Source organism: Homo sapiens, chromosome 6 (assembly GCF_000001405.40).
Source record: "Homo sapiens chromosome 6, GRCh38.p14 Primary Assembly".
Taxonomy (NCBI): Eukaryota; Metazoa; Chordata; class Mammalia; order Primates; family Hominidae; genus Homo; species Homo sapiens.
Genome location: NC_000006.12, coordinates 135,980,437 through 136,006,600, shown reverse-complemented (window position 1 = coordinate 136,006,600; position 26,164 = coordinate 135,980,437). Strand labels below are relative to the sequence as shown.

Below are 26,164 nucleotides of genomic sequence, written 5' to 3'. Positions count from 1 at the left end.
ACAAAACACTGCTCAAAGAAACTAGATATGACAAACAAATGGAAAAACATCCCATTCTCATGGATAGGAAGAATCAATATCATTGAAATGGCCATGCTTCCCAAAGAAATTTACAAATTCAATATTATTTCTATCAAACTACAAATGACATTCTTCACAGAACCAGAAAAAATGATTTAAAAATTCATATGGAACCAAAAAAGAGCCCAGATAGCCAAGACAATCCATTTTCTTTTATTCTTATTATTATACTTTAAGTTTTAGGGTACATGTGCACAATGTACAGGTTAGTTACATATGTATACATGTGTCATGCTGGTGTGCTGCACCCATTAACTCGTCATTTAGCATTAGGTATATCTCCTAATGCTATCCCTCCCCCCTCCCCCCACCCCACAACAGGCCCCAGAGTGTGATGTTCCCCTTCCTGTGTCCATATGTTCTCATTGTTCAATTCCCACCTATGAGTGAGAACATGCAGTGTTTGGTTTTTTGTCCTTGTGATAGTTTACTGAGAATGATGATTTCCAATTTCATCCATGTCCCTACAAAGGACATGATCTCATCATTTTTTATGGCTGCATAGTATTCCATGGTGTATATGTGCCACATTTTCTTAATCCAGTCTATCATTGTTGGACATTTGGGTTGGTTCCAAGTCTTTGCTATTGTGAATAGTGCCGCAATAAACATACACGTGCATGTGTCTTTATAGCAGTATGATTTATAGTCCTTTGGGTATATACTCAGTAATGGGATGGCTGTGTCAAATGGTATTTCTAGTTCTAGATCCCTGAGGAATCGCCACACTGACTTCCACAATGGTTGAACTAGTTTAGAGTCCCACCAACAGTGTAAAAGTGTTCCTATTTCTCCACATCCTCTCCAGCACCTGTTGTTTCCTGACTTTTTAATGATTGCCATTCTAACTGGTGTGAGACAGTATCTCATTGTGGTTTTGATTTGCATTTCTCTGATGGCCAGTGAAGGTGAGCATTTTTTCATGTGTTTTTTGGCTGCACAAATGTCTTCTTTTGAGAAGTGTCTGTTCGTGTCCTTCACCCACTTTTCAATGGGGTTGTTTGTCTTTTTCTTGTAAATTTGTTGGAGTTCATTGTAGATTCTGGATATTAGCCCTTTGTCAGATGAGTAGGTTGTGAAAATTTTCTCCCATTTTGTAGGTTGCCTGTTCACTCTGATGGTAGTTTCTTTTGCTGTGCAGAAGCTCTTTAGTTTAATGAGATCCCATTTGTCAATTTTGGCTTTTGTTGCCATTGCTTTTGGTGTTTTAGACATGAAGTCCTTGCCCATGCCTATGTCCTGAATGGTAATGCCTAGGTTTTCTTCTACGGTTTTTACGGTTTTAGGTCTAACATTTAAGTCTTTAATCCATTTTGAATTAATTTTTGTATAAGGTGTAAGGAAGGGATCCAGTTTCAGCTTTCTACATATGGCTAGCCAGTTTTCCCAGCACCATTTATTAAATAGGGAATCCTTTACCCATTGCTTGTTTTTCTCAGGTTTGTCAAAGATCAGATAGTTGTAGATATGCAGCGTTATTTCTGAGAGCTCTGTTCTGTTCCATTGATCTATATCTCTGTATTGGTACCAGTACCATGCTGTTTTGGTTACTGTAGCCTTGTAGTATAGTTTGAAGTCAGGTAGCGTGATGCCTCCAGCTTTGTTCTTTTGGCTTAGGATTGACTTGGCGATGTGGGCTCTTTTTTGGTTCCATATGAACTTTAAAGTAGTTTTTTCTAATTCTGTGAAGAAAGTCATTGGTAGCTTGATGGGGATGGCATTGAATCTATAAATTACCTTGGGCAGTATGGCCATTTTCACGATATTGATTCTTCCTACCCATGAACATGGAATGTTCTTCCACTTGTTTGTATCCTCTTTTATTTCCTTGAGCAGTGGTTTGTAGTTCTCCTTGAAGAGGTCCTTCACATCCCTTGTAAGTTGGATTCCTAGGTATTTTATTCTCTTTGAAGCAATTGTGAATGGGAGTTCACTCATGATTTGGCTCTCTGTTTGTCTGTTATTGGTGTATAAGAATGCTTGTGATTTTTGTACATTGATTTTGTATCCTGAGACTTTGCTGAAGTTGCTTATCAGCTTAAGGAGATTTCGAGCTGAGACAATGGGGTTTTCTAGATATACAATCATGTCATCTGCAAACAGGGACAATTTGACTTCCTCTTTTCCTAATTGAATACCCTTTATTTCCTTCTCCTGCCTAATTGCCCTGGCCAGAACTTCCAACACTATGTTAAATAGGAGTGGTAAGAGAGGGCATCCCTGTCTTGTGCCCGTTTTCAAAGGGAATGCTTCCAGTTTTTGCCCATTCAGTATGATATTAGCTGTGGGTTTGTCATAGATAGCTCTTACTATTTTGAGATATGTCCCATCAATACCTAATTTATTGAGAGTTTTTAGCATGAAGGGTTGTTGAATTTTGTCAAAGGCCTTTTCTGCATCTATTGAGATAATCATGTGATTTTTGTCTTTGGTTCTGTTTATATGCTGGATTACATTTATTGATTTGTGTATATTGAACCAGCCTTGCATCCCAGGGATGAAGCCCACTTGATCATGGTGGATAAGCTTTTTGATGTGCTGCTGGATTCGGTTTGCCAGTATTTTATTGAGGATTTTTGCATCAATGTTCATCAAGGATATTGGTCTAAAATTCTCTTTTTTGGTTGTGTCTCTGCCCTGCTTTGGTATCAGGATGATGCTGGCCTTATAAAATGAGTTAGGGAAGATTCCCTCTTTTTCTATTGATTGGAATAGTTTCAGAAGGAATGGTACCAGTTCCTCCTTGTACCTCTGGTAGAATTCGGCTGTGAATCCATCTGGTCCTGGACTATTTTTTGTTGGTAAGCTATTGATTATTGCCACAATTTCAGAGCCTGTTATTGGTCTATTCAGAGATTCAACCTCTTCCTGGTTTAGTCTTGGGAGGGTGTATGTGTCCAGGAATTTATCCATTTCTTCTAGATTTTCTAGTTTATTTGCATAGAGGTGTTTGTAGTATTCTCTGATGGTAGTTTGTACTTCTGTGGGATCGGTGGTGATATCCCCTTTATCATTTTTTATTGCGTCTATTTGATTCTTTTCTCTTTTCTTCTTTATTAGTCTTGCTAGCAGTCTACTGATTTTGTTGATCCTTTCAATAAACCAGCTTCTGGATTCATTAATTTTTTGAAGGGTTTTTTGTGTCTCTATTTCCTTCAGTTCTGCTCTGATTTTAGTTATTTCTTGCCTTCTGCTAGCTTTTGAATGTGTTTGCTCTTGCTTTTCTAGTTCTTTTAATTGTGATGTTAGGGTGTCAATTTTGGATCTTTCATGCTTTCTCTTGTGGGCATTTAGTGCTATAAATTTCCCTCTACACACTGCTTTGAATGCATCCCAGAGATTCTGGTATGTTGTGTCTTTGTTCTCGTTGGTTTCAAAGGACATCTTTATTTCTACCTTCATTTCGTTATGTACCCAGTAGTCATTCAGGAGCAGGTTGTTCAGTTTCCATGTAGTTGAGTGGTTTTGAGTGAGTTTCTTAATCCTGAGTTCTAGTTTGATTGCACTGTGGTCTGAGAGACAGTTTGTTATAATTTCTGTTCTTTTACATTTGCTGAGGAGAGCTTTACTTCCAAGTATGTGGTCAATTTTGGAATAGGTGTGGTGTGGTGCTGAAAAAAATGTATATTGTGTTGATTTGGGGTGGAGAGTTCTGTAGATGTCTATTAGGTCCACTTGGTGCAGAGCTGAGTTCAATTCCTGGGTATCCTTGTTGACTTTCTGTCTCATTGATCTGTCTAATGTTGACAGTGGGGTGTTAAAGTCTCCCATTATTAATTTGTGGGAGTCTAAGTCTCTTTGTAGGTCACTAGGGACTTGCTTTATGAATCTGGGTGCTCCTGTATTGGGTGCATATATATTTAGGAGAGTTAGCTCTTCTTGTTGAATTGATCCCTTTACCATTATGTAATGGCCTTCTTTGTCTCTTTTGATCTTTGTTGGTTTCAGGTCTGTTTTATCAGAGACTAGGATTGCAACCCCTGCCTTTTTTTGTTTTCCATTTGCTTGGTAGATCTTCCTCTATCCTTTTATTTTGATCCTATGTGTGTCTCTGCACGTGAGATGGGTTTCCTGAATACAGCACACTGATGGGTCTTGACTCTTTATCCAATTTCTCAGTCTGTGTCTTTTAATTGGAGCATTTAGTCCATTTATATTTAAAGTTAATATTGTTATGTGTGAATTTGATCCTGTCATTATGATGTTAGCTGGTTATTTTGCTCATTAGTTGATGCAGTTTCTTCCTAGCCTTGACGGTCTTGACAATTTGGCTTGATTTTGCAGTGGCTGGTACCAGTTGTTCCTTTCCATGTTTAGAGCTTCCTTCAGGAGCTCTTTTAGGCCAGGCCTGGTGGTGACAAAATCTCTCAGCATTTCCTTGTCTGTGAAATATTTTATTTCTCCTTCACTTACGAAGCTTAGTTTCACTGGATATGAAATTCTGGGTTGAAGATTCTTTTCTTTAAGAATATCGAATATTGGCCCCCACTCTCTTCTGGCTTATAGAGTTTCTGCCGAGAGATCCGCTGTTAGTCTGATGGGCTTCCCTTTGTGGGTAACCCGACCTTTCTCTCTGGCTGCCCTTAACATTTTTTCCTTCATTTCAACTTTGGTGAATCTGACAATTATGTGTCTTGGAGTTGCTCTTCTCGAGGAGTATCTTTGTGGCGTTCTCTGTATTTCCTGAATCTGAATGTTGGCCTGCCTTGCTAGATTGGGGAAGTTCTCCTGGATAATATCCTGCAGAGTGTTTTCCAACTTGGTTCCATTCTCCCCATCACTTTCAGGTACACCAGTCAGATGTAGATTTGGTCTTTTCACATAGTCCCATATTTCTTGGAGGCTTTGTTCATTTCTTTTTATTCTTTTTTCTCTAAACTTCTCTTCTCGCTTCATTTCATTCATTTCATCTTCCATCACTGATACCCTTTCTTCCAATTGATCGCATCGGCTCCTGAGGCTTCTGCATTCTTCACGTAGTTCTCGAGCCTTGGCTTTCAGCTCCATCAGCTCCTTTAAGCACTTCTCTGTATTGGTTATTCTAGTTATACATTTGTCTAAATTTTTTTCAAAGTTTTCAGCTTCTTTGCCTTTGGTTTGAATTTCATCCTGTAGCCCGGAGTAGTTTGATCGTCTGAAGCATTCTTCTCTCAACTCGTCAAAGTCATTCTCCGTCCAGCTTTGTTCCGTTGCTGGTGAGGAACTGCGTTCCTTTGGAGGAGGAGAGGTGCTCTGCTTTTTAGAGTTTCCAGTTTTTCTGCTCTGTTTTCTCCCCATCTTTGTGGTTTTATCTACTTTTGGTCTTTGATGATGGTGATGTACAGATGGGTTTTTGGTGTGGATGTCCTTTCTGTTTGTTAGTTTTCCTTCTAACAGACAGGACCCTCAGCTGCAGGTCTGTTGGAGTTTGCTAGAGGTCCACTCCAGACTCTGTTTGCCTGGATATCAGCAGCGGTGGCTGCAGAACAGCGGATTTTCATGAACTGCAAATGCTGCTGTCTGATTGTTCCTCTGGAAGTTTTGTCTCAGAGGAGTACCCGGCTGTGTGAGGTGTCAGTCTGCCCCTACTGGGGGGTGCCTCCCAGTTAGGCTGCTCAGGGGTCAGGGGTCAGGGACCCACTTGAGGAGGCAGTCTGCCCATTCTCAGATCTCCAGCTGCGTGCTGGGACAACCACTGCTCTCTTTAAAGCTGTCAGACAGGGACATTTAAGTCTGCAGAGGTTACTGCTGTCTTTTTGTTTGTCTGTGCCCTGCCCCCAGAGGTGGAGCCTACAGAGGCAGGCAGGCCTCCTTAGCCAAGGCAATCTTAAGCAAAAAGAACAAAGCTACAGGCATCATGTTACTTGACTTCAAACTATATTACAGGGCTACAGTAACCAAAACAGCATGGTACTAGTACAAAAAAACAGATACATAGATACATGGAACAAAATAGAAAGCCCAGAAATAAGGCCATACACCTTTAGCCATCTGATCTTCAACCATCTGACAAAAACAAGACAGGGGAAAAGACTCACTATTCAATAAATGGTGCTGGGATAGCTGGCTAGCCATGTGCAGAAGATTAAAACTGGACTACTTTCTTATGCTATATACAAAAATCAACTCAATATGGATGAAAGACTTAAACATAAAACCCAAAACTATAAAAACCATGGAAGACAACCGAAGAAATACCATTCTGGACACAGGAATGGGCAAAGTTTTCATGACAAAGACACCAAAAGCAATTGCAACAAAAGCAAAAATTGACAAATGGGATCTAATTAAACTTAAGAGCTTCATCACAGCAAAAGAAGCTATCAACAGATTGAACAGACAACCTACAGAATGGGAGAAAACTATGCAAACTATGCATGTGACAAAGGTCTAAAATCCAGCATATATAAGGAACTTAAACAAATTTACAAGAAAATAAACAACAACAAACAACTTCATTAAAAAGTAGGCAAAGGACATGAACACTTTTCTAAAGACATACATGTGGCCAAAAAGCTTAAAATCACTGATCATTACAGAAATGCAAATCAAAGCCACAATGTGATACCATCTTACACTAGTCAGAATGGCTATCATTAAAAAGTCAAAAAATAACATATGCTGGTGAGGTTGCAGAGAAAAGGGAACACTTATACACTGTTGGTGGGAATGTAAATTAGTTCAGCCTTTATGGAAAGCACTGTGGCAATTCCTCAAAGGGCTAAAATCAGAACTACTATTCGGCCCAGCAATCTCATTACTGGCTATATACCCAGAGCAATGTAAATCATTTTATTATAAAGACACATGCATGCATATGTTCATTGCAACACTCTTCACAATAGCAAAGACATGGAATAAACCTAAATGCCTCTCGGTGACAGACTAGATAAGGAAAATGTTGTATATATACATAATGGAATACTATGCAGCCATAAAAAAGAATGAGTTCATGTCTTTTGTGGAAACATGGGTGGAACTGGAGGCCATTATCCTTAGCAAACTAACACAGGAACAGAAAACCAAATACCACATGTTCTTACTTATAAGAGGGAGGTAAATAGAACTCATGAACTCAAAGAAGGGAACAACAGACACTGGGGCCTACTTGAGGGTGGAAGGTGAGAGGAGGGAGAGAAGAAAAAAAAGTATCTATTGGGTATTAGGTTTAGTACCTGAGTGACAAAAAAATCTGTACAGTAAACCCTTGTGACACAAGTTTATCTGTGTTACAAACCAGCACATGTACCCCAGAACCTAAAATAAAAGTTACAAGAAAAAAAGGTAAACAAAGGTTCTATAGCTTATGAAGCCTGTGATTTTTCTCAATGTTATCTGATGATTTGTGACAGTTTTCAGAAATATCTCTTAGGATATACAATATCTATGTCCTTCCCAAACTAGACTGAACCACAGACAACTTATTGACTGAAGTTCTCTGATTCCTCTAGGTCTGAGGAGACATTTCTTCTCTCTTTGCCTAGGAGTCTGTGGCAGAGAAAAGGTGATAAATTCACCGTTCTCTTCCTCTTTCTCAGCATATATTATATTATATTAGCAAAATTAGTTTTCCCAACCTCCCTTGCAAATTTTCTCCCTTGTAGTAAATTTGAGAGCCATATTGCTTTCTCTCACTCTCTCCCCTCCTCCTTCTTTCCTCTCTCTTTCTCTTTTTCTTTCTTTCACTATTTAAGTCAGTGATGGAAAAAGAGTGAAAATTGTAATGTCTAAGTATCACTTTAAGGAGTGTTTTTTTTTTGTTTATTTTTTATTTTTTTTTATTTTGAGATGGAGTCTTGCTCTGTCACCCAGGCTGGAGTGCAGTGGCGCCATCTCGGCTCACTGCAAGCTCTGCCTCCCGGGTTCACGCCATTCTCCTGCCTCAGCCTCCTGAGTAGCTGAGACTACAGGCACCCACCACCACGCCTGGCTAATTTTTTGTATTTTTAGTAGAGACAGGGTTTCACCGTGTTAGCCAGGATGGTCTCGATCTCCTGACCTCGTGATCTGCCCGCCTCGGCCTCCCAAAGTGCTGGGATTACAGGCGTGAGCCACCACGCCTGGCCAGGAGTTTTAATTATGTTTGTCAATTTTAAGGCAAGGTTGAAAAATAATTCAAGATAAATATCACATTACTTAAATAAACCAAGACATATTTTTATAAGATAAATAATCTGCATTATATATGTTTCTACTTAGTCGACAGGAACCAAGGCGAACAATGTGTTATACCATAGTCTACACAAAAAACTGTGTAAAAAACTATCCAGAAAACTGAATTCCAACTGGTGGCAGAAAGAATAATAGTGAACCTCTATTTTCACTATGTAAATAAGTATTTTTTACTTGGAAAAACTATGAAAATCTCTCTTTTTCTCCTCCAAAAAATATAATTATGTAATTATATTGGACTTTTAAAATAAAAAGTGATTTCAAATACATTACATCAGTTAATTATAGGAGTCTTAGAAGGTAAAATGGCCATATTCTATCAATACACTGCAGTAGAGACTTGCCTAACGTAAAATTTACAGTGGTAGAGTAGCTTGGAAAATAAGTTTCCTGACTCCATTTCCATTAGTGTATGTTTGTTTGTTTTGTAAAATGTACTAAATGATCCTTATAGTAAGTGAGGAGTAAAAAGGCAGTATTAAAAAGAAAATGACCATATAATAACCTCCCACCCACTGGCGATTGCTAATACTCTGTTATCTTTCGAGTCTTATCCCTACATATATATTACATAGTTGATATTGTATCATTTATACCATCTTGTGTTCTCCTTCTCCATTTAACATTGTAAGAAAAACAGTTCTCCTTTTCTTAAAAACTTTTTGCAAATATAGTGTTTAATGATGTTTCAACATATGCTTCTATGATAATTAAATTCATCTCTTTTCTATTCATAGGCATGTAGATTGTTATTAAATGCTTGGTGCTCATAAATAATGCTGCAGAAACATCTCTGTATAAAGAGCTTTTTCCAATATTTTAGATTTTTTTCTTATGATAGATTCCTAGTAGTGAAATTTCAGAAAAAGAATAAATGCATATGAGTTCTTTTTACTATAGAAACTGCTTTCTATGGCTTTTTTTTTTTTTTTTTTTTTTTTTTTTTTTTTTTTTTGAGACAGGGTCTCATTCTGTCAGCTAGGCTGGAGTGCAGTGGCATGATCATGGCTCATTGCAGCCTTGACCTTCCAGGCTCAAGCTATCCTCCCCACTCAGCCTCCCTAGTAGTTGGGACTACAGGTGCATGCCACCACACCTGGCTAATTTTTGGATTTTTTGTTGAGACAGGGCCTCACCATATTGCTTAGGTCTTGAACCCCTGGGCTCAAGCAATCTGCCCATCTTGGCCTCCCAAAGTGCTGGGATTTCAGGGTTGAGCCATTGTGCCCAGCCTGCTTCTTGAAATTACCACATGGTCAATAAAAAATAAAACAACAACAACAAAAAAACCGAGAATAAAGTCACAGATTTGAAGTGAATGATGGCCTCCAGCTTCCATCGGGACTGGGCTATTAAAGGATAGTTCAGAGGAGTGGATGATGGTCTCAGTGTTTCTTATCAGATTTAACAGTTGATCACAGTAGCATATCTCCAATGGACTATACTCAAATTTAATGTGACTAATCTTCACAGCATCCCTGTGCTCTAAGTGGGTATTGCTATTTCTCGGAAGGAGAAAATACCAAACAGTATATTTGCTGTTATCTACCCTGGATCCTTCATATTTACTCACACAAGTGCTGTGCATACTGGAAAAGAAGTAGGGTAACTAGATGGATTTTTCTTCTCAGTATTGGATCAAAACAAGACTAAGATAAAAGACTACAGTTGGACCAAATGAACATATTTCTGCTGTTTAGCATTTGACACAGGGACAGAGAATGAGTTAAAAAGAGAAACGGATACTTCTCTCAGCAACAAAGCTAGATTGTCTAAATGGGTTAATGTGAGAAAAACTTACAAAACAGTCCTCCTTGTTCTATATTGATAAAAATCTGTGCTTTTGCCTCCGTTATTTTCTCGCCTTTTGTAAGGATAGAAAACTAATACGGTATTATGTTACTTCTTAGTGGTAGGGAGTCTATACAATATGTAAGTTAAAGGGAATCTAAATCTATCACATATTAGTAGTTGAATCATTTGGTGAATCAGTGAATTTCTGACTGAAGTTAATTTTTAGCTCAAACATATTTGTGATCTATATAACAGCAAGTATCCTTGCTTGATTTGTTTGAATAAACAAATCTAGAAATCTAGAAAAACCAGTTTGAAAGACATTCTTGTTTACAAATGGACCAATAATTATGCCAAAATATAAAGTCATAATTTTGAAATTAGAAAATTATATGCTATTATTCTCAATATATTTATTTAGGTTTGCCTATTTGACACTAGGAAATTGATGTTCTCTTGGTAAAGATCCTGTGTCTAGGCATGTATCACCATCAAGTAGAGGTTTTATTTTAGTCAATGGTAAACTTTTCATGAGATTTGATCTAACTTTGAGAAATAAAAATAAAAAGCACCAACTCTCTCTCCTTCTCTGTGTGTGTGCATGTGTGTATCCATTTATTTAAAGAAAGCTGAGAAATTTATGGTGTTAATTAACAATTAAATTATAAAACAATTCCTTATAATAGGCTTTTAAAGAAAAAACCTCTTTATGTTTATGTTAATTCTCTTCATTAATTTTTATTTTAATGTAGTTCCAATTATTCCATTTACAAATAAGTTTAGACTATTTATAATTCACTCAAATTGTCTTGTTGTGAAATGTCTTTAGTTAATGGATATGGGCAAGGCTTTGCGCTGGTATCCCTGGGCTGGTAAGAACGTCTCTCAGACTAATCAGCTAAGCAGAGCAGAGGAAGATAACCTGTTTTGCACAGAACATATAGGTATGCTGGTCACTTTTAAGAACTTCACCACAACGGTCTTTTTCTAACACTAATTTTCTATTCTCCTCAGAAGAGACCAACTTCCCATTTGTCCACACTGGCTTTCATTTTCTGCTGTTACCCCTGAATCGACTCATACTCATCAGTGTCTTCACTGGCTGATTAAGCATGAGTCAGAAATTTGTTCTGCCAACAACAACAAAAAATACTATTTTTATCTCCTTCAGATGTAAACCTTTAAAAAATATATTTTTTAGAATCTTTAATGTTTTCAAGATAGTGGGATTCAGACACATTTCTATTGATACACACCATGCTTCCTTTTCCTGGATTTGTCAGAGGAAGTTGCATGTCTGTGGCTGGATTTAGATGGATTAGTATGGACTGAGTAGCGGTGGTACATATGTATGGAGCGTGGGGCCGGGGGAGGGTTAAGGTTTGGGACATGAACTTGGTGGCCAGAGGGCCTGGAGGCCTGTAGGATTTGTGTGACCAAAGGCCCGGGCCAAAGGGTCCCAGGGCAGCATGAAGGGACTTGGCCTCACTGATAAGAGGATGCAGAGTTGGGAGGGGACATGAAGAAGCAGGATGGATAGGTCTCATTCTGAATAATCTTTGATTATGGGGAAGCCAGTGCTTACTATTGATGAAAGTGCTGTTTTAGGAAGATTTGAGAGCATGAGGAAAGATAAAAACTGAGCCCTATGACTATGACTAACTCTGTTTTAGATCCTTTGAATTGCTGATAGCACTCACTGTTTCTATGCCACATTTTCTGTAGTAATATTTTTTAAAATGAGAGCTTTAGTACATGCTAATATAATAATTCTTAGCATTCTCGAATTGTTTAATACGTATTTGTAGTTATTATGAGGAGTTGCTATCTTATTCTTTACTCTCAACAATGCCAAACCTGTGCTAGATCCTCAATAAGTGCTTGTTGAATATAATTGAATAAATGAGATTCATTAGTCTTCTAATATAATAAAGACAGTGTTCTTGAGTTTAAAAAGTCTCTTCCAATCGGATTTTGAGTGTATTATAGGCTCTATTGTATCCATGACTTCTATAAATTGTGGAGACATTTCAGTTGGCTTTAATGGCTTTCTAACTCTGAATCCATTTATACATGTGCTTTGCTGCAAAAGATTAATTAATAATTAAATATTTCCTTACTCTAGGTAGGATGGAGTCAAATGTATCTTTGGTGAAATAGAAGCTTCAGATAAAATTTGTGTAACTCAGCCCTGTTGAGGAGAACCATACTATTTTTTTCACCTCTAGTAATATAACTGTGAATGATACATTCATCTTTTCATTTTCGTATGAAGTGTAAAATAACTCATCCACTTTAACAAATGTGCTTATTCTGAAGTGTTTCCTCAATGGAATTCACAAGACACAATCTCAGTGGTAATTAGGCCAATGTCCTCTCCTTCCCACCTCCCTTCTTAATATACATAAAACACACACACACACACACACACACACACACACACACACACACACACACAGATCCAATACAAGAACAGGCAACTTTAGTTCTTAGTATAATTTCTATGAGTTTACTTCTGCAGGAGATTAAAGGAAGGGGTAGTTTAAAAACAGAACTGAGAAACTGGGATCCCTCTTAGATTTCTGCAAGCTGTTTTTCAGGCTGCTGTTGTTTATTACTTTGCTTACTCAAGTTAATTATACCTCTCCTCCTATGTCTCTTTGGATAGACCCGAGTTTTTATAAGGGCTGGTCCACATCCACTTGACTGGTGAAGGAAAGAAAGCATGCTTTTTATTACCACCAGTACTTGTCTTATGAAAGATAGGAAACTCAAAGTTAAGCTTGAAATCTCTACCTCTACCTTGGTCACTTTGTTAATCTGCCCGAATTTTGAGGTTCAATCTGCCTTAATGCTCACCATTAATTCAGCCCATCAGTTAACCATAAACCCTTTAATAATGTCCCACAGGAATTCCTGAGTAGACACAAGTTTCTGGCTTGCTTTGAAATTACACAAGGCCTCCTCATAGAAATGGTTAGGACTGTCAACAGACATGCTCTTTTTACCTAGTTTAAGGGAGAAGAAGGCTGCTTCTGTGCCAGCTTATAACAGTCTTGCTGCCTTCTCAGCTGTATCAGGGGCGCTCAACCCTGGCTGAACGTTAGAGTCACCTGGGGAGCTTTCAAAAATATCAGTGCTTGAGCCTGATGCTAGAATCACTGCATGATGAGACTGGAGCATCTGAATTTTAAAAATCTTCCCAGGTAATTCCAAGGGTTAGCCAGGCTTGAAAACGATGGAGTTAAGAACCAAGAAGACACTCCTCTGAAAGATGAAATAGGTGATACCTTCAACTCTATTGCGGAATGCTAAGATGTTGGCTAAGGCTGAACTTTTGATGTTTATCTTTAGAGTCACATTCAGGATAGCCTTCACCTCTCACCAGTTGAGTCCACCTATCAGAGTTGTCTCCATTTTTTTCATGCCACCTACAGAAATGTGACCTGGCCCAATGTAGCAGGGGTTGACCAGACTGCAGAGGACGGGGAGTTCAGCTCACAATGAGGATGGAGAAGGTAACAACTGGGCGTGATGATAGGAGCATTTGGACCACTAAAGGGTTTCACAACTCACTGTGTGACATTGGGCAAGTCACTGAATTTTCTCCAACCATATTCTCCAGCCAAGTAAATAAGAAGTCATTACCCTACACTTACTTCACAGGGCTGTTGGGAGGGGCACATGAGATTGTGTACTTGAAAGCACTTTATAAACTGTAAAGTTTCATACTTCATAGAAATTACTATTCCCACTTATGGAACAGAGTTACTTTGAAGTTTATTAAGTGTGTTCTTTCCATGGACCAAACACTGGGAAATAATATTTTAATATCCGTAGATGAAACATAAATGGACATGTAGCACATATTTTGAGTCACATTTTCCTTCATTTGCTATCATTTATCCTGAATATAAACCATCCACAAACTCTAGCTACAGGGAACAATTAAGTAAAAAGGAAAGTTAATCTGTTTATTCTAATGCATAAAAACTTGGAAAAAAAAATTTGAAGTATCATCACAGGTGTTATTAAGTGTTTACTGCCCAAGACCCAGTGTTAGGCACTGTGCAGTGCTGGCTTGATTTGAACTTTAACATATTATAAGCTAAAAATAACCTGAAATGCAAATTAATGATATATATTTGAAACCTGAAATGAAACAGAAATGTTACCTCAAACAGAATACTTAGAAAGTGGAATATATCTAAGAGACTGCTATGGTGAAAATATCTAGAACAAGCTAGTCCCATCCGTGGCCCAAGGGCTGCATGCAGCCCAGGACAGCTTTGAATGTGGCCCAATACTTATTAGTAAATTTTCTTAAAACATTATGAGATTTTTGCGATTTTTTTTTTTTTTTTAGCTCATCAGGTATCATTAGTATTAGTGTATTTTATGTGTGGCCCAAGACAATTCTTCTTCTTTCAGAGCGGCCCAGGGAAGCCAAAAGGTTGGACACCCCTGGTCTAATGTTTGTGGAAAGGAATGAAGGGGCAGCCACCTTTGACCTTTGCTTTCTCATAGTGATGATGAAGAGGAATAAACTATGGATATAATAACATTTGATTAACATATATTTCAGCAAGGAAGCTCTTTTGTGGATTAAGCAACAACAAAAACCAAAACAAACCAAAAACCTTCAAGAATCATATGAAAGAGAACAGTTTGATTTTGTACCTACAGGAAAATAATCTATCTTCATGCATGTCTCCTCGATCAACATGCATGTTGAAGGTAACTCAAGGCATAGGCATAAAGTCTTGAAAGCTCACAGCCTCTTTTTTCTCTCTGCAGCTCTCTGATGGCCCTCATCATTCTTTCTGCCTTCAGCTGGTTTTGTCTTGTCTGATATCACACTTAAAAAGCAATTTTTTATGCATGACTAAAAAGCATTCGAAGAAAAATTACCTCATTATATTATTAGTATATTGTTAACCTAATATTAACATATAAATATATAACAATACTAATCTAATTGTGGACCCAAAGGCTTTCTCCTAGCAGAAGGAATTTCAGCCATCAGCAAGCAGGAAGTAGCCACTTGAGAACAATTTGCTGGTATTGGCGAATGTGAGTTGTAGGGAGGAGAAATGAAGAAGAGTAAGAGAACTATCTTTTTCTTTCTTTTTTTAAAAATTTTATTTTAATTGACAAAAATTGTATACATTTGTGGTGTACAACGTGATGTTCTGAAATATGTATTAATTGTGGAAGGACCAATCAACCTAATTAGTCAACACATGCATTACTGTCAGAGGCATTTGAACCAGAACAACTCCATCTTGAGTAGGGGCTGGGAAAAAGACCTGATAAACTGCATTCCCAGGAGGTTAGGCATTCTTAGTTACAGGATGAGATAGGATGTTGGCACGAGATACAGGTCAAAAACCTTGCTGACAAAACAGGGTGCAGTAAAGAAGCCAGACAAAACCCACCAAAACCAAGATGGCGGTAAGAGTGACCTCTGGTCGTCTCACTGCTACACTCCCACCAGTGCCATGACAGTTTACAAATGCCATGGCAACATAAGCAAGTTACTCTATATGGTCTAAAAAGGGGAGGAACCCTCAGTTCCAGGAATTGCCCACCCCTTTCCCAGAAAACTCATGAATAATCCACCCCCTATTTAGCATATAATTAAGAGATAACCATAAAAATGGGCAACTAGCAGCCTTCAGGGCTGCTCTGCCCATGAAGTAGCCATTCTTTAGTCCTTTACTTTCCTAATAAACTTACTGTCACTTAGCTCTATGGACTTGCCCCAAATTCATTCTTGCATAAGATCCAAGAACCCTCTCTTGGGGTCTGGATTGGGACCCCTTTCTGGTAACATTACCTCACATACTTATCACTTATTTGTGGTGAGAACATTTTAAATCTGCTTTTTAAAGCAATTTTCAAACATACCATATGTCGTCATTAACCATAGTCACCATGTTGCACAATATATCTCCAGAAAAAACAGCTGCTATTTCTATACGTCTAACTTCAACTCCTGGCTAGCAGGATGCTGCCGCCCAGGTTGTAGCAGGTTCTGTTTCAAGAGCTGTTGGGAGCAGAGGGGAAAAGGAGCCTCGAAAACCCTCACCACTTGTTTCCCAAAGAACCCAAAGCTCATGGTCTTCAAAATTAAGTATTCATCAGAATCACCTGAAGGATTTTCAAAACAGATTGCTGGCCGGTCATAGTAGCTCACGCCTGTAATCCCAGCACTTTGGGGGAATGAGGCAGGCAGATCACCCAAAGTCAGGAGTTCGTGACCAGCCAGGCCAACATGGTGAAACCCCGTCTCTACTAAAAATACCAAAATTAGCTGGGTGTGGTGGCGGGCACCTGTAATCCCAGCCACTTGGTAGGCTGAGGCAGAAGAATTGCTTGAGCCCAGGAGGTGGAGGTTGCAGTGAGCCGAGATGGTGCCATTGCACTCCAGCCTGGGCGATAGAGCGAGACTCTGTCTCAAAAAAAAAAAAAAACAAAAAAACCCCAAAAATCAAAACAGATTGCTGAGTCCCAATTCCAGAGTTTCTGACCATAGTCTGCAACAATGCATTCCCCACATAATCCATATTATCCACATATTTGCTTTAGATATTCTTTGTTTTGGACCCATAAGGGTTCCATAAAAGCAAACTTTCTACTAATAAAATCTATAACTACATTTGAGACATAATCAATATTCAAATTGAATTTGAGTTTCATATATTCTTAAACATCTGTTGCTCATGCAATAACAAAACAGCAAACAGAACCAAGAAAATAGAGAGAAACCAGAAACCCACCAAGTGGGCAGTTAACTCCTGAAAAACCAACATAAACCATTGTAATTAAACCAATTCTCTAGAATGAATTTGATTGATATATTTTCATATATTTCATCAACTGAGTTAATATTTCCCTGAAAATAATTTTGCATTTATTTGATTACATAAATTTATTATTATTATTATTATTATTTTGGAGACAGAGTTTCGCTCTTGTTGCCTAGCCTGGAGTGCAATGGCACCATCTCAGCTCACCACAACCTCTGCCTCCTGGGTTCAAGCTATTCTCCTGCCTCAGCCTCCTGAGTAGCTGGGATTACAGGCATGCACCACCATGCCCAGCTAATTTTTGTATTTTTAGTAGAGACAGGGTTTCTCCATGTTGGTCTGGCTGGTCTCGAACTACCGACCTCAGGTGATCCACCTGCCTTTGCCTTCCAAAGTGTTGGGATTACAGGCGTGAGCCATCGCGCTCGGCCCTGATAACGTACATTTTTATTGAGGACCTCCTGGTAGCAGTCACCATGAAGGACAAGCAATATAGTGACGGATAAAATAGATACTGTCCTGCCCTTATCATCTCATTTTCTAGTAAGTTTAGTCAACCATTGTATCCACAAGTGTTTTAACAAGTTCCTTCTAATTGATATCTTTTAGGTTGTTTGTATTTTCCGTTGGTTTAATTACATAGAACTTAATTTTCAGAAGAGAAGGCAAATTAATCTGAAACACATATCATTGTTAGGAGAAAATGAATTTTTATATATTCCCAACATAAAAAAAGAGACAGTGGACTATAGTGTAGAAACTGATTACATAAAAGCAAGATTATGTAAGGGTTATATTTCCTTAGTGATGGCAGATAATTAACAGACAGATCGATTTTATTTTCGATTGAGATTAAGTTTCCTTGCAACAAGCTTACCAACTATTTATTGGGTAATAAACATCCATCAGTCTGTCTTTTCTATAAAAGAGATACAGCCATGTGATAAACAAAATGTAGGCCCCTAAACAAAACAAAGCAACAGTGACAACAAAACTCTTATCTCACGATTTCCCTGAGGTGAGATTTTCCTAGTTATCAATTCATTCCTAAATTTATAATTCCTTTTACCCACTTGATCAGAACACTTCCATTTCCTTTGAATGCTTCATCTTAACTGTATCTCTAAGGAAGAAGAACATATTTTGTATCTCCCTTCTTACCCTTCATTCAACACAAAAATAATATTATAGATTACTTCGGTCTTTATATTCTCTCTTCTATACCTATACAAATCATTTAAAGATTGATTATTATTAAACAGTGGGCTCTTAAAATGTAACATCTTAGAGTCAGAATGTGGAGAAATCTAGTTTCAAATTCTGTCTAATTTAAATATTTCCATTAGAATGTCTCTGAAAGAGGATTGCCTGCCTAAATGAGCTCAGTGCTAAAGAGCTTACTAATTTACAGTTTTGAGGAGCTTTCTTTACTGGGAAGTTCTACCTTCTATTTTTCCAAAATCTACCTCCTTCTAACTTTCACTAATTCCACACGCTGGGACCACAGAGACGTCAAATCCTTCTTCTACAGGCAATTCTCCAAGTATCCACAAATAATATTTGTGGGTTGTGTTCCCTCTTAGTTCTTTCTTAATGATAAGGAACTGTGGTTTCTTTAACTTCAATTAGTTCTATGATATGGTTTCTAGAACATTGCCCAATTAATTTATTTCCTCTAAATACCATTCTGCTTTTAATTTTCTCACATGATATACAGAGCTCAGACTGGACACAAAATTACAGGGCATAGTCTCCCTTGGGGCTCTGTGTAATTCACAAATGTGATAGGCATGTATTAGGAACTGAATATTTTTGTCTCCCTTTGCCCCACCTAAATTCATTTGTTGAATTCCCAACCTCCAGTGTGTTGGTATTTGGAGATAGGGTCATTGGGAGGTGATTATATATGTGTGTGTGTGTATGTGTGTGTGTGTGTCTTTATTATTTGCTTCCTCTTCAGCAAATGTTCATCTTCTCATGTATTTATTAGTGAATAAAAGCAAAAAGATGAGCAACACTGTTTAGAGAAATGTAAAGGCCCTGCTTAGTAAAAGTGTCTTATTCTTTCTTCTTCAGAAGAAAGAAGTGGGAGTACTTCCTGCAACCAGGGGCTCCTTCTCGTTGGTGTGATCACGAGCACACTCTGCTCTCTGCTTTTGGGACAGATAGACATCTCCAGGAATAAGTGGGATCTGTCTTATGCGACTTAACTCAAGTGTTATTCTGAAGGGAAGAAGGCTCAGTTCTGGTGGCCTCCATTTGAGATACCACAATCACAAATGGAATGAACACGAGGCCAGTGTTTGCATCTAATTTTGCAATAACTGTAGAGAGAAACCCCCTAGTCAGCAAATCCAGGAGCCCTTCATCTCCCAAGTCAGATACTTGGGAGCAGGGGCCACTCCTACTCAATACAGAGTCCAGAGGGTTGGTGCTCTCAACTCCTATGAACTGGCATCACCTTATTCTTGCTGTCAACCCAGAGACATTCCCTGTGACTCTGAACAGCTTTCGCCTGAGCTGAGAAGATTATCCCAAATCATTTAAAAAGTGCCAAATTCTGTTCTTTATTGTCTGCTCCTCAAGGCGTGTCATCTACTGCAGCAAGACCTGTCTCAAAGTTAAGGATCACTTTGTTGTTTGGAAGGCAAGTTGTAGTTACTTGCAAAGATAATTTATTTTGGATAAAGGTATTACTTTACAGATATGAGGTCTATACACACCCTCCTTTAATAACAGAAAGCTAGAAAGTTGACAGGATCAGAATAGCTCTCTCTTTGAAGAGGCTTCAAGGCTATCTGCAGGTGAAAAATGTACAAACAACAATCAGGTCTTCCCTTCTCACTTCTTCTGCTCCACAAGTCTAAACCTAGGACGGCACTGGTCACACAATGGGAATATTTCAGTCTCTTCTCAAAACATTGTGATCCATTTCATCAGATTCTTGGTCTGTGATAGATCAAAGCTTTGGGAAGAGAAAATGGACTTATCCTAATCATAAAACTCCTTTCTGAAAGAAAACTTGTTGAAGAAAGTAACACTAATACAGGTTCATCCCATAAAGGAGATTCAGAAAACGTATGAAGAATTGTGACTGTTTCCTTATCTTTTCTCACACCTGCATTTTTCAGACTTGGCAGACAGAGCTGTCCAGGACAGATTTAGAATCGAAATGTGAACAGCATACCTGTGTCATCTTGCTGGGATCCATCGAGCTAGGATGTCCACACTGAAAACATAACCACATTTTAACTTTCTAACCACTATTCTGTTCCAGTTCTGTAGATTCTTAAAGCTGGATTGAGTCTCCTTAGAATGCAGTTTTTTAAAATCTTGCTTAATTGCATGGCTACTACACTTTCCTAAATGTTTTCCTTTAAATAAACAATATTAGTAGTTGCTTTAAAGGCTGCCATTTTGCAATGTACAGAAAGAGCATTTTTGCTTGTTTAGACATTTTCACATAATCCACTCAGAGGAGAGGGCTAAAACAAAATGTCATCACTTCAGTTACTGAAATTACTCTCATTTCAAAGATGTTTTGGTAAACAAGTCAATGCATCTCACACTCACTATCAATGAGCCTTACCCACATATACTCAAAAAAAGGCAAGTTTTGTGTTCTTTGCAGATTCAGTAATGTGATAGTTCTAGTGAATACGAGCAAACGCTGAACAGAACTCTGATTCCAGGGTCTCTAGTGAGCAATATGAGTGCCTTCTATAAAACACAGGCTGAACCTCTGCTGGAGGAGTAACAGCATTATAATTGGCTCCCATGGGTTTTATTAGCAGCGGGCTGGGAGCAGAGTGGAGAGCATCGCCCGGTGCCTGAGCAACCAGCCTCACAAACACCTGGCTGTAGGGATCTGGAGACAGAAAACACGTTGTCAAGGTCTCAGTGGCACTGTATACGGCCACCCTGGTTGGGACTATCAAAGTGCATGCTTCTCTAAGCTCTGTACTTGGTAGTACGTCGAAGAAAGTTCTAGATGCTCTGAATTTGAAATGCTTGGAATTAAGCCAGGCTTGAACTAACTGAACAGTAACTTGCTCTGTTTTTCCTACATTCCAAATCCTTCTAAAGGACAGAAATACTTTTGGGCATTCCAAACTATGAATATCTGTCACCTTTTGTGTGTATGCCAGAAATGTGGCTAGATGACAGGAAGTTGTTCACAGTATAGAATTTGGATGCAGCAGCTTTGTCAAAGTGGAGTCTATGTCCAAAGAAATTGTTCCCTTTGCAGATGAGAAAAATAATGCTTGGACTTATCTTTTTGCTCCTCCTCAGCCTCCTCTTCACACTCATTTTCATTATTCTACTCATGTAGAAAAAATGATGGAAAACTTTGGACCTCCAAAGAAACAACATTTCTAGAATAGTCTGGAAACCTCTAGTTGCCTTGTCCTATCCAACCTCAGAAAGCTGCATCCCAGGGGCCTGTGGAGCTCCCAAGAGCTCTGTTCAGCTCAGCTGTGAGGGCAGATGGCACTACAGGACAGTCATGGTTGAATAAGGAAACAGCTATATGGAGGGTTTTTTTTCCCTCAGTGGCATTTACCCCTGAACTTTTGGAAAACACAGCAGCATGACAGTCCTTTTCTTACGAGAATAGTCACAAAGAGAGAAATGCAAACATAAAGTGTAAAGTCTGGTGCTCAGACTGGGTCAGCCTAGTTGCAAAAGAGCAAGTGAAAAGAAGACTTTAACTTCATTCCATTATTTCTGAGGGTATGCCAACAGTTCTAGAAAGTTCTTCACAGTTCTTCCCATTCTCTCTCCCATGTAGCCTTTGCTTGCATTTTTTTTGTTTGTTTCTGTTCTCTTTTCCTCAGGGCTGGTGAAGATTGAGTAGAGCTGGGCAGGTGGGATCAGAAAAGTGTAGCAACAGCTCTAAGCTCTGAGCTCTTCCCGTGTGCAGACTCTGTATACACGTCCCCCACCTGATCTCAGTGTACCTCACAGCAACCATTTCTATGTTGTGGGTGACAAACTCAAACAACACAAGTAAGGAAGTTTTATCATCACAATTCAAGTTCATATGTGATTCCAGGATCCAGGTTTGCAACCACTGCAGTAAGAAATTGTCTTTTTTCTTCTCATTTTTCTCATATTAAACCCCAGTCTAAGTCTTATTTTCTACACAAAATTAGGTATTTTTCCTGGAATAGACCTGGATTGGGTGTGTAGGAGAGCCATCATGTGCCACGTGAGACATTGCTGGCCATCATCCAGGTGACTCCTTTAATTGGTAAATTAATATGCACATTTGGCAAGCAATTTCTGTAACTAGAGGAATTAACTACTCAAATTGAAAATGTCTATCTCTCTGAGATTAGATGGCAATACTTTGAAAAATTATTAGTAGAATTATGAGCTGGCAAATTCTAGGTTAGCATTAGCCTGGATGCATGCTATTGCCTGAATGACACTAGCTTAAAAACAAACAAAAAAAACAAACAAAAAAACAAAACAATTGGGAGACTATGATTTACTTTCAGGTCTTCCGATGAATAACTTCGATGTCTTAGGCAGAGACTCCAATATGCGTCACTCCTAACCTCAAGCTGACTGTTTTATCAACAGCTCTGGCTGATGAAAAATCTTCCTGCAACTGTTGTATTCTTATTCAAAGCATTCCTCTTTCCCCATTCCAGCTGGTCTAATAGGTGGATGAAAGAATTGCCAGATACACACTGCAGGAGCATCAGGTCCTGAAGAAAGATGGACCACATTTATTTGCTTCATTTTTATTCCTTCAGAATTTGCAGTAAATTGAGGAAGTCTATTTTGTAAGAGGTTACTAATGATGGGAATACATGCTCCCAGCTTGGTGTGCAAACACACACATATGGGAAATGAAGAAACCTGAGTAAACATAGGGCCTTGCTGGAAGCAGCTATCATCTTCCTTTCGTGCCACTGGGTACAAGAGGCAACAAAATCTTGTAGCATTTTCAAATGGATTCTGGGTGTTTATATAGAAGATCAATACATTTTTGTCTTCAGAAATCAATGAATCCTTCTTACATAGACTGCAGAGAATCACTTTCTTGGGAAGGCTTAGAGAAATGCCTATAGGATACTGGGGGAGTATTTTCAATAAATGCTCACGTATGAGACACAAAAAGACAGTTCCTATTTAGGAAACTTTAGTGCTATAACCAACTTATTTCAATTGAATTTTAAAAAACCTTTATAGGCTTTAAGACAAATGTAATAATTGGGACACTTCTTATACCCTGCACAACACTAAGGATTCAAGTACTCGATACTGCCCATCTGTACTCCTCTGTTGGCTGAGTGTTTATCTAATGTAGGTAGTTTTCTTTATGAAAATACTCAACTGATATTACACACAACAAAATGTAATTTTGAATGTAGACGATTAATTTCACATATATTACCTGAATGATTTTAGCTAGGACATGGACAGGTCTCTTTGGTCACTGCCCTTGGTTCTGAAGTCAGTTCAGCCCATGGTAGGGGTGAACTCAGCCCACTGCTGAGTCAACAACAAGTCAGTCAGTGTGGCAACCAGTATCCACGGTTTCTCCAGACCCCAAAGCACAATTGGGTAGCACTGTGTGTGTCTTAAATTTTTTGTCTACCTACCACAATGATTGAAATTCCCTCATTAGAGATTCATTTCTTTAGCCATATGGCATTTTTATTTTTGTAAATAAAAAAGGAAATACATCAATATTTCATAAATACTTTTGATTGAATACTCATGGATTAGACTACCATTAATGGTGCTCATCAGATCACTTTTTTCCATGAAAACTAGATGAGGACAAAACAGAGACTGGGAGTTCTTCTGAGGTTGGTGGTTAGAAGAGTCTAAGGGAGAAGCCTTTAGAGGACATGAGGGTCCACTCAGAGAAGACAAGCACATTTGAAGAAACCTCACTCTGTGACAGGGTGTGATGAGTATCCAGGAGCCAGAAGTATGGCATAAAAAGGCCACGTGTTGCATTTGGCACAGAAAAAAAATGGCTTCATGATCTCTGGGAATTGCCACAACCCATCTTCTAGAACTTTGCTACATGTGATTCATAGACCAGTAGCAGTAGTATCAACTGGGGGCTTATTAACAATGTAGAATCTTGGGCTTCATCCCAGACTTCATCAGATTTTATATTTAAAGCAGATGACCAGGTGATGTATATGCATGTCAAAGTTTAAGAAACACAGGTCACTAAGATTCCTCTGGGTCATGATGTAATACATAGACTGCCCCTTCCTTAGCAGTTCCTGATTGAACAAGGGATGCGCACCAGATCCAAGCTGGGCCAGACAGATTCTCTCCCTGTGTTTGGAAGTTGAGACAGAGAGAAGAAAGTAGCAGAAAGAGAGAGAGAGAGAGCTAACATGTGAACCTGAGAGTCAGAGAAAGCCTGTCTGGGCCGAGAGAAAAAAATAAAGCAGATGTTCAGAGAAGCAGAAACAGGCTCTTGTTCTTACTTCCAGTTCCCTTCCAAGTCTCAGCAAGAGATTTACTAAACCTGAGTTCTACAAAGCGGTAGGTCCTTATAATACATCCCCTCCTTATGCTTAAGCCAATTTGGCAATATGCTTGATACATGAAACTAAGAGTTCTTAACAAACATGGGTGGCAAGAGTATGACATGGACCTAGAAAGAGGGGGGGTCAGGATAAGTATAGTCATGTGCTGTGTAAGACCGTGTGGGTCAATGACAAACTGCATGTACAATGATGGTCCCATAGGATTATAATAGAGCTGAAAAGTTCCTATCGTCTAGTGACTTCATAGTCATTGTAACCATTGTAGCACAGTGCATCGCACTGTTTATGGTGATGCTGGTGTAAACAAACCTACTTCTCTGCCAGGCATATGAAAGTATAGCATGTACAATTTTGTACAGCACATGATATTTGATAATGAGAATAAACAACTATGTTATTGGTGTATGTATTTACCATATTATACTTTATTTTAGAGTATACTCCTACTTCTGAAAAAAAAAAAAGAGTTAATTGTAAAACATCCTCAGGCAGGTCCTTCAGGAGGTATCCAGAGGAAGGCATTGTTATAGTAGGAGATGGCAGCCCCATGTGTGTTATTGCCCCTGAAGACCTTCCTGTGGGAAAAATGTGGAGGTGGAAGACAGTGATATTGATCATCTTGACCCTAGGCCTACCCAGGGTCAAGATGATCAACATCACTGTGTGCATTTGTGTCTCGGTTTTTTTTTTTTGAAATTGAAAAGTAGTAATTTTATTTGATGTTTTTGTTAGATAACAAAAGAAACCAAAATACCAGTAGTCTGTTTAATAGTCTGTTTTTATTATTATTATTATTATACTTTAAGTTTTAGGGTACATGTGCTGCACAATGTACAGGTTAGTTACATATGTGTACATGTGCCATGCTGGTGCGCTGCACCCTCTAACTCGTCATCTAGCATTAGGTATATCTCCCAGTGCTATCCCTCCCCCCTCCCCCCACCCCACAACAGTCCCCACAGTGTGATGTTCCCCTTCCTGTGTCCATGTGTTCTCATTGTTCAATTCCCACCTATGAGTGAGAATATTCGGTGTTTGGTTTTTTGTTCTTGCGATAGTTTACTGAGAATGATGATTTCCACTTTCATCCATGTCCCCACAAAGGACATGAACTCATCATTTTTTATGGCTGCATAGTATTCCATGGTGTATATGTGCCACATTTTCTTAATCCAGTCTATCATTGTTGGACATTTGGGTTGGTTCCAAGTCTTTGCTATTGTGAATAATGCCGCAATAAACATACGTGTGCATGTGTCTTCATAGCAGCATGATTTATAGTCCTTTGGGTATATACCCAGTAATGGGATGGCTGGGTCAAATGGTATTTCTAGTTCTAGATCCCTGAGGAATCGCCACACTGACTTCCACAATGGTTGAACTAGTTTACAGTCCCACCAACAGTGTAAAAGTGTTCCTATTTCTCCACATCCTCTCCAGCACCTGTTGTTTCCTGACTTTTTAATGATTGCCATTCTAACTGGTGTGAGATGGTATCTCATTGTGGTTTTGATTTGCATTTCTCTGATGGCCAGTGATGGTGAGCATTTTTTCATGTGTTTTTTGGCTGCATAAATGTCGTCTTTTGAGAAGTGTCTGTTCATGTCCTTCGCCCACTCTTTGATGGGGTTGTTTCTTGTAAATTTGTTTGAGTTCATTGTAGATGCTGGATATTAGCCCTTTGTCAGATGAGTAGGTTGTGAAAATTTTCTCCCATTTTGTAGGTTGCCTGTTCACTCTGATGGTAGTTTCTTTTGCTGTGCAGAAGCTCTTTAGTTTAATTAGATCCCATTT

The 26,164-nt window shown here is 38.7% G+C and overlaps 1 protein-coding gene across 1 annotated transcript in view, besides 2 other annotated features; it reads right to left on the bottom strand.

Annotated features, from left to right (window-relative positions):
* Positions 1-26,164, bottom strand: part of PDE7B (phosphodiesterase 7B) — a 343,874-nt gene that overhangs the window by 188,974 nt on the left and 128,736 nt on the right. The window lies entirely within an intron of this gene.
* Positions 14,819-15,320: an enhancer, noted in NCBI's record as "NANOG hESC enhancer chr6:136312419-136312920 (GRCh37/hg19 assembly coordinates)". NCBI's record gives its function as "activates a minimal SCP1, AML or CMV promoter by ChIP-STARR-seq in naive H9 embryonic stem cells {active_cell/tissue: H9 hESC(naive)}" and the evidence as "EXISTENCE:reporter gene assay evidence [ECO:0000049][PMID:30033119]".
* Positions 20,581-20,832: a silencer, noted in NCBI's record as "fragment chr6:136306907-136307158 (GRCh37/hg19 assembly coordinates)". NCBI's record gives its function as "represses an EF-1alpha promoter that drives an FKBP-Casp9 reporter gene in an ReSE screen in K562 erythroleukemia cells {active_cell/tissue: K562}" and the evidence as "EXISTENCE:reporter gene assay evidence [ECO:0000049][PMID:32094911]".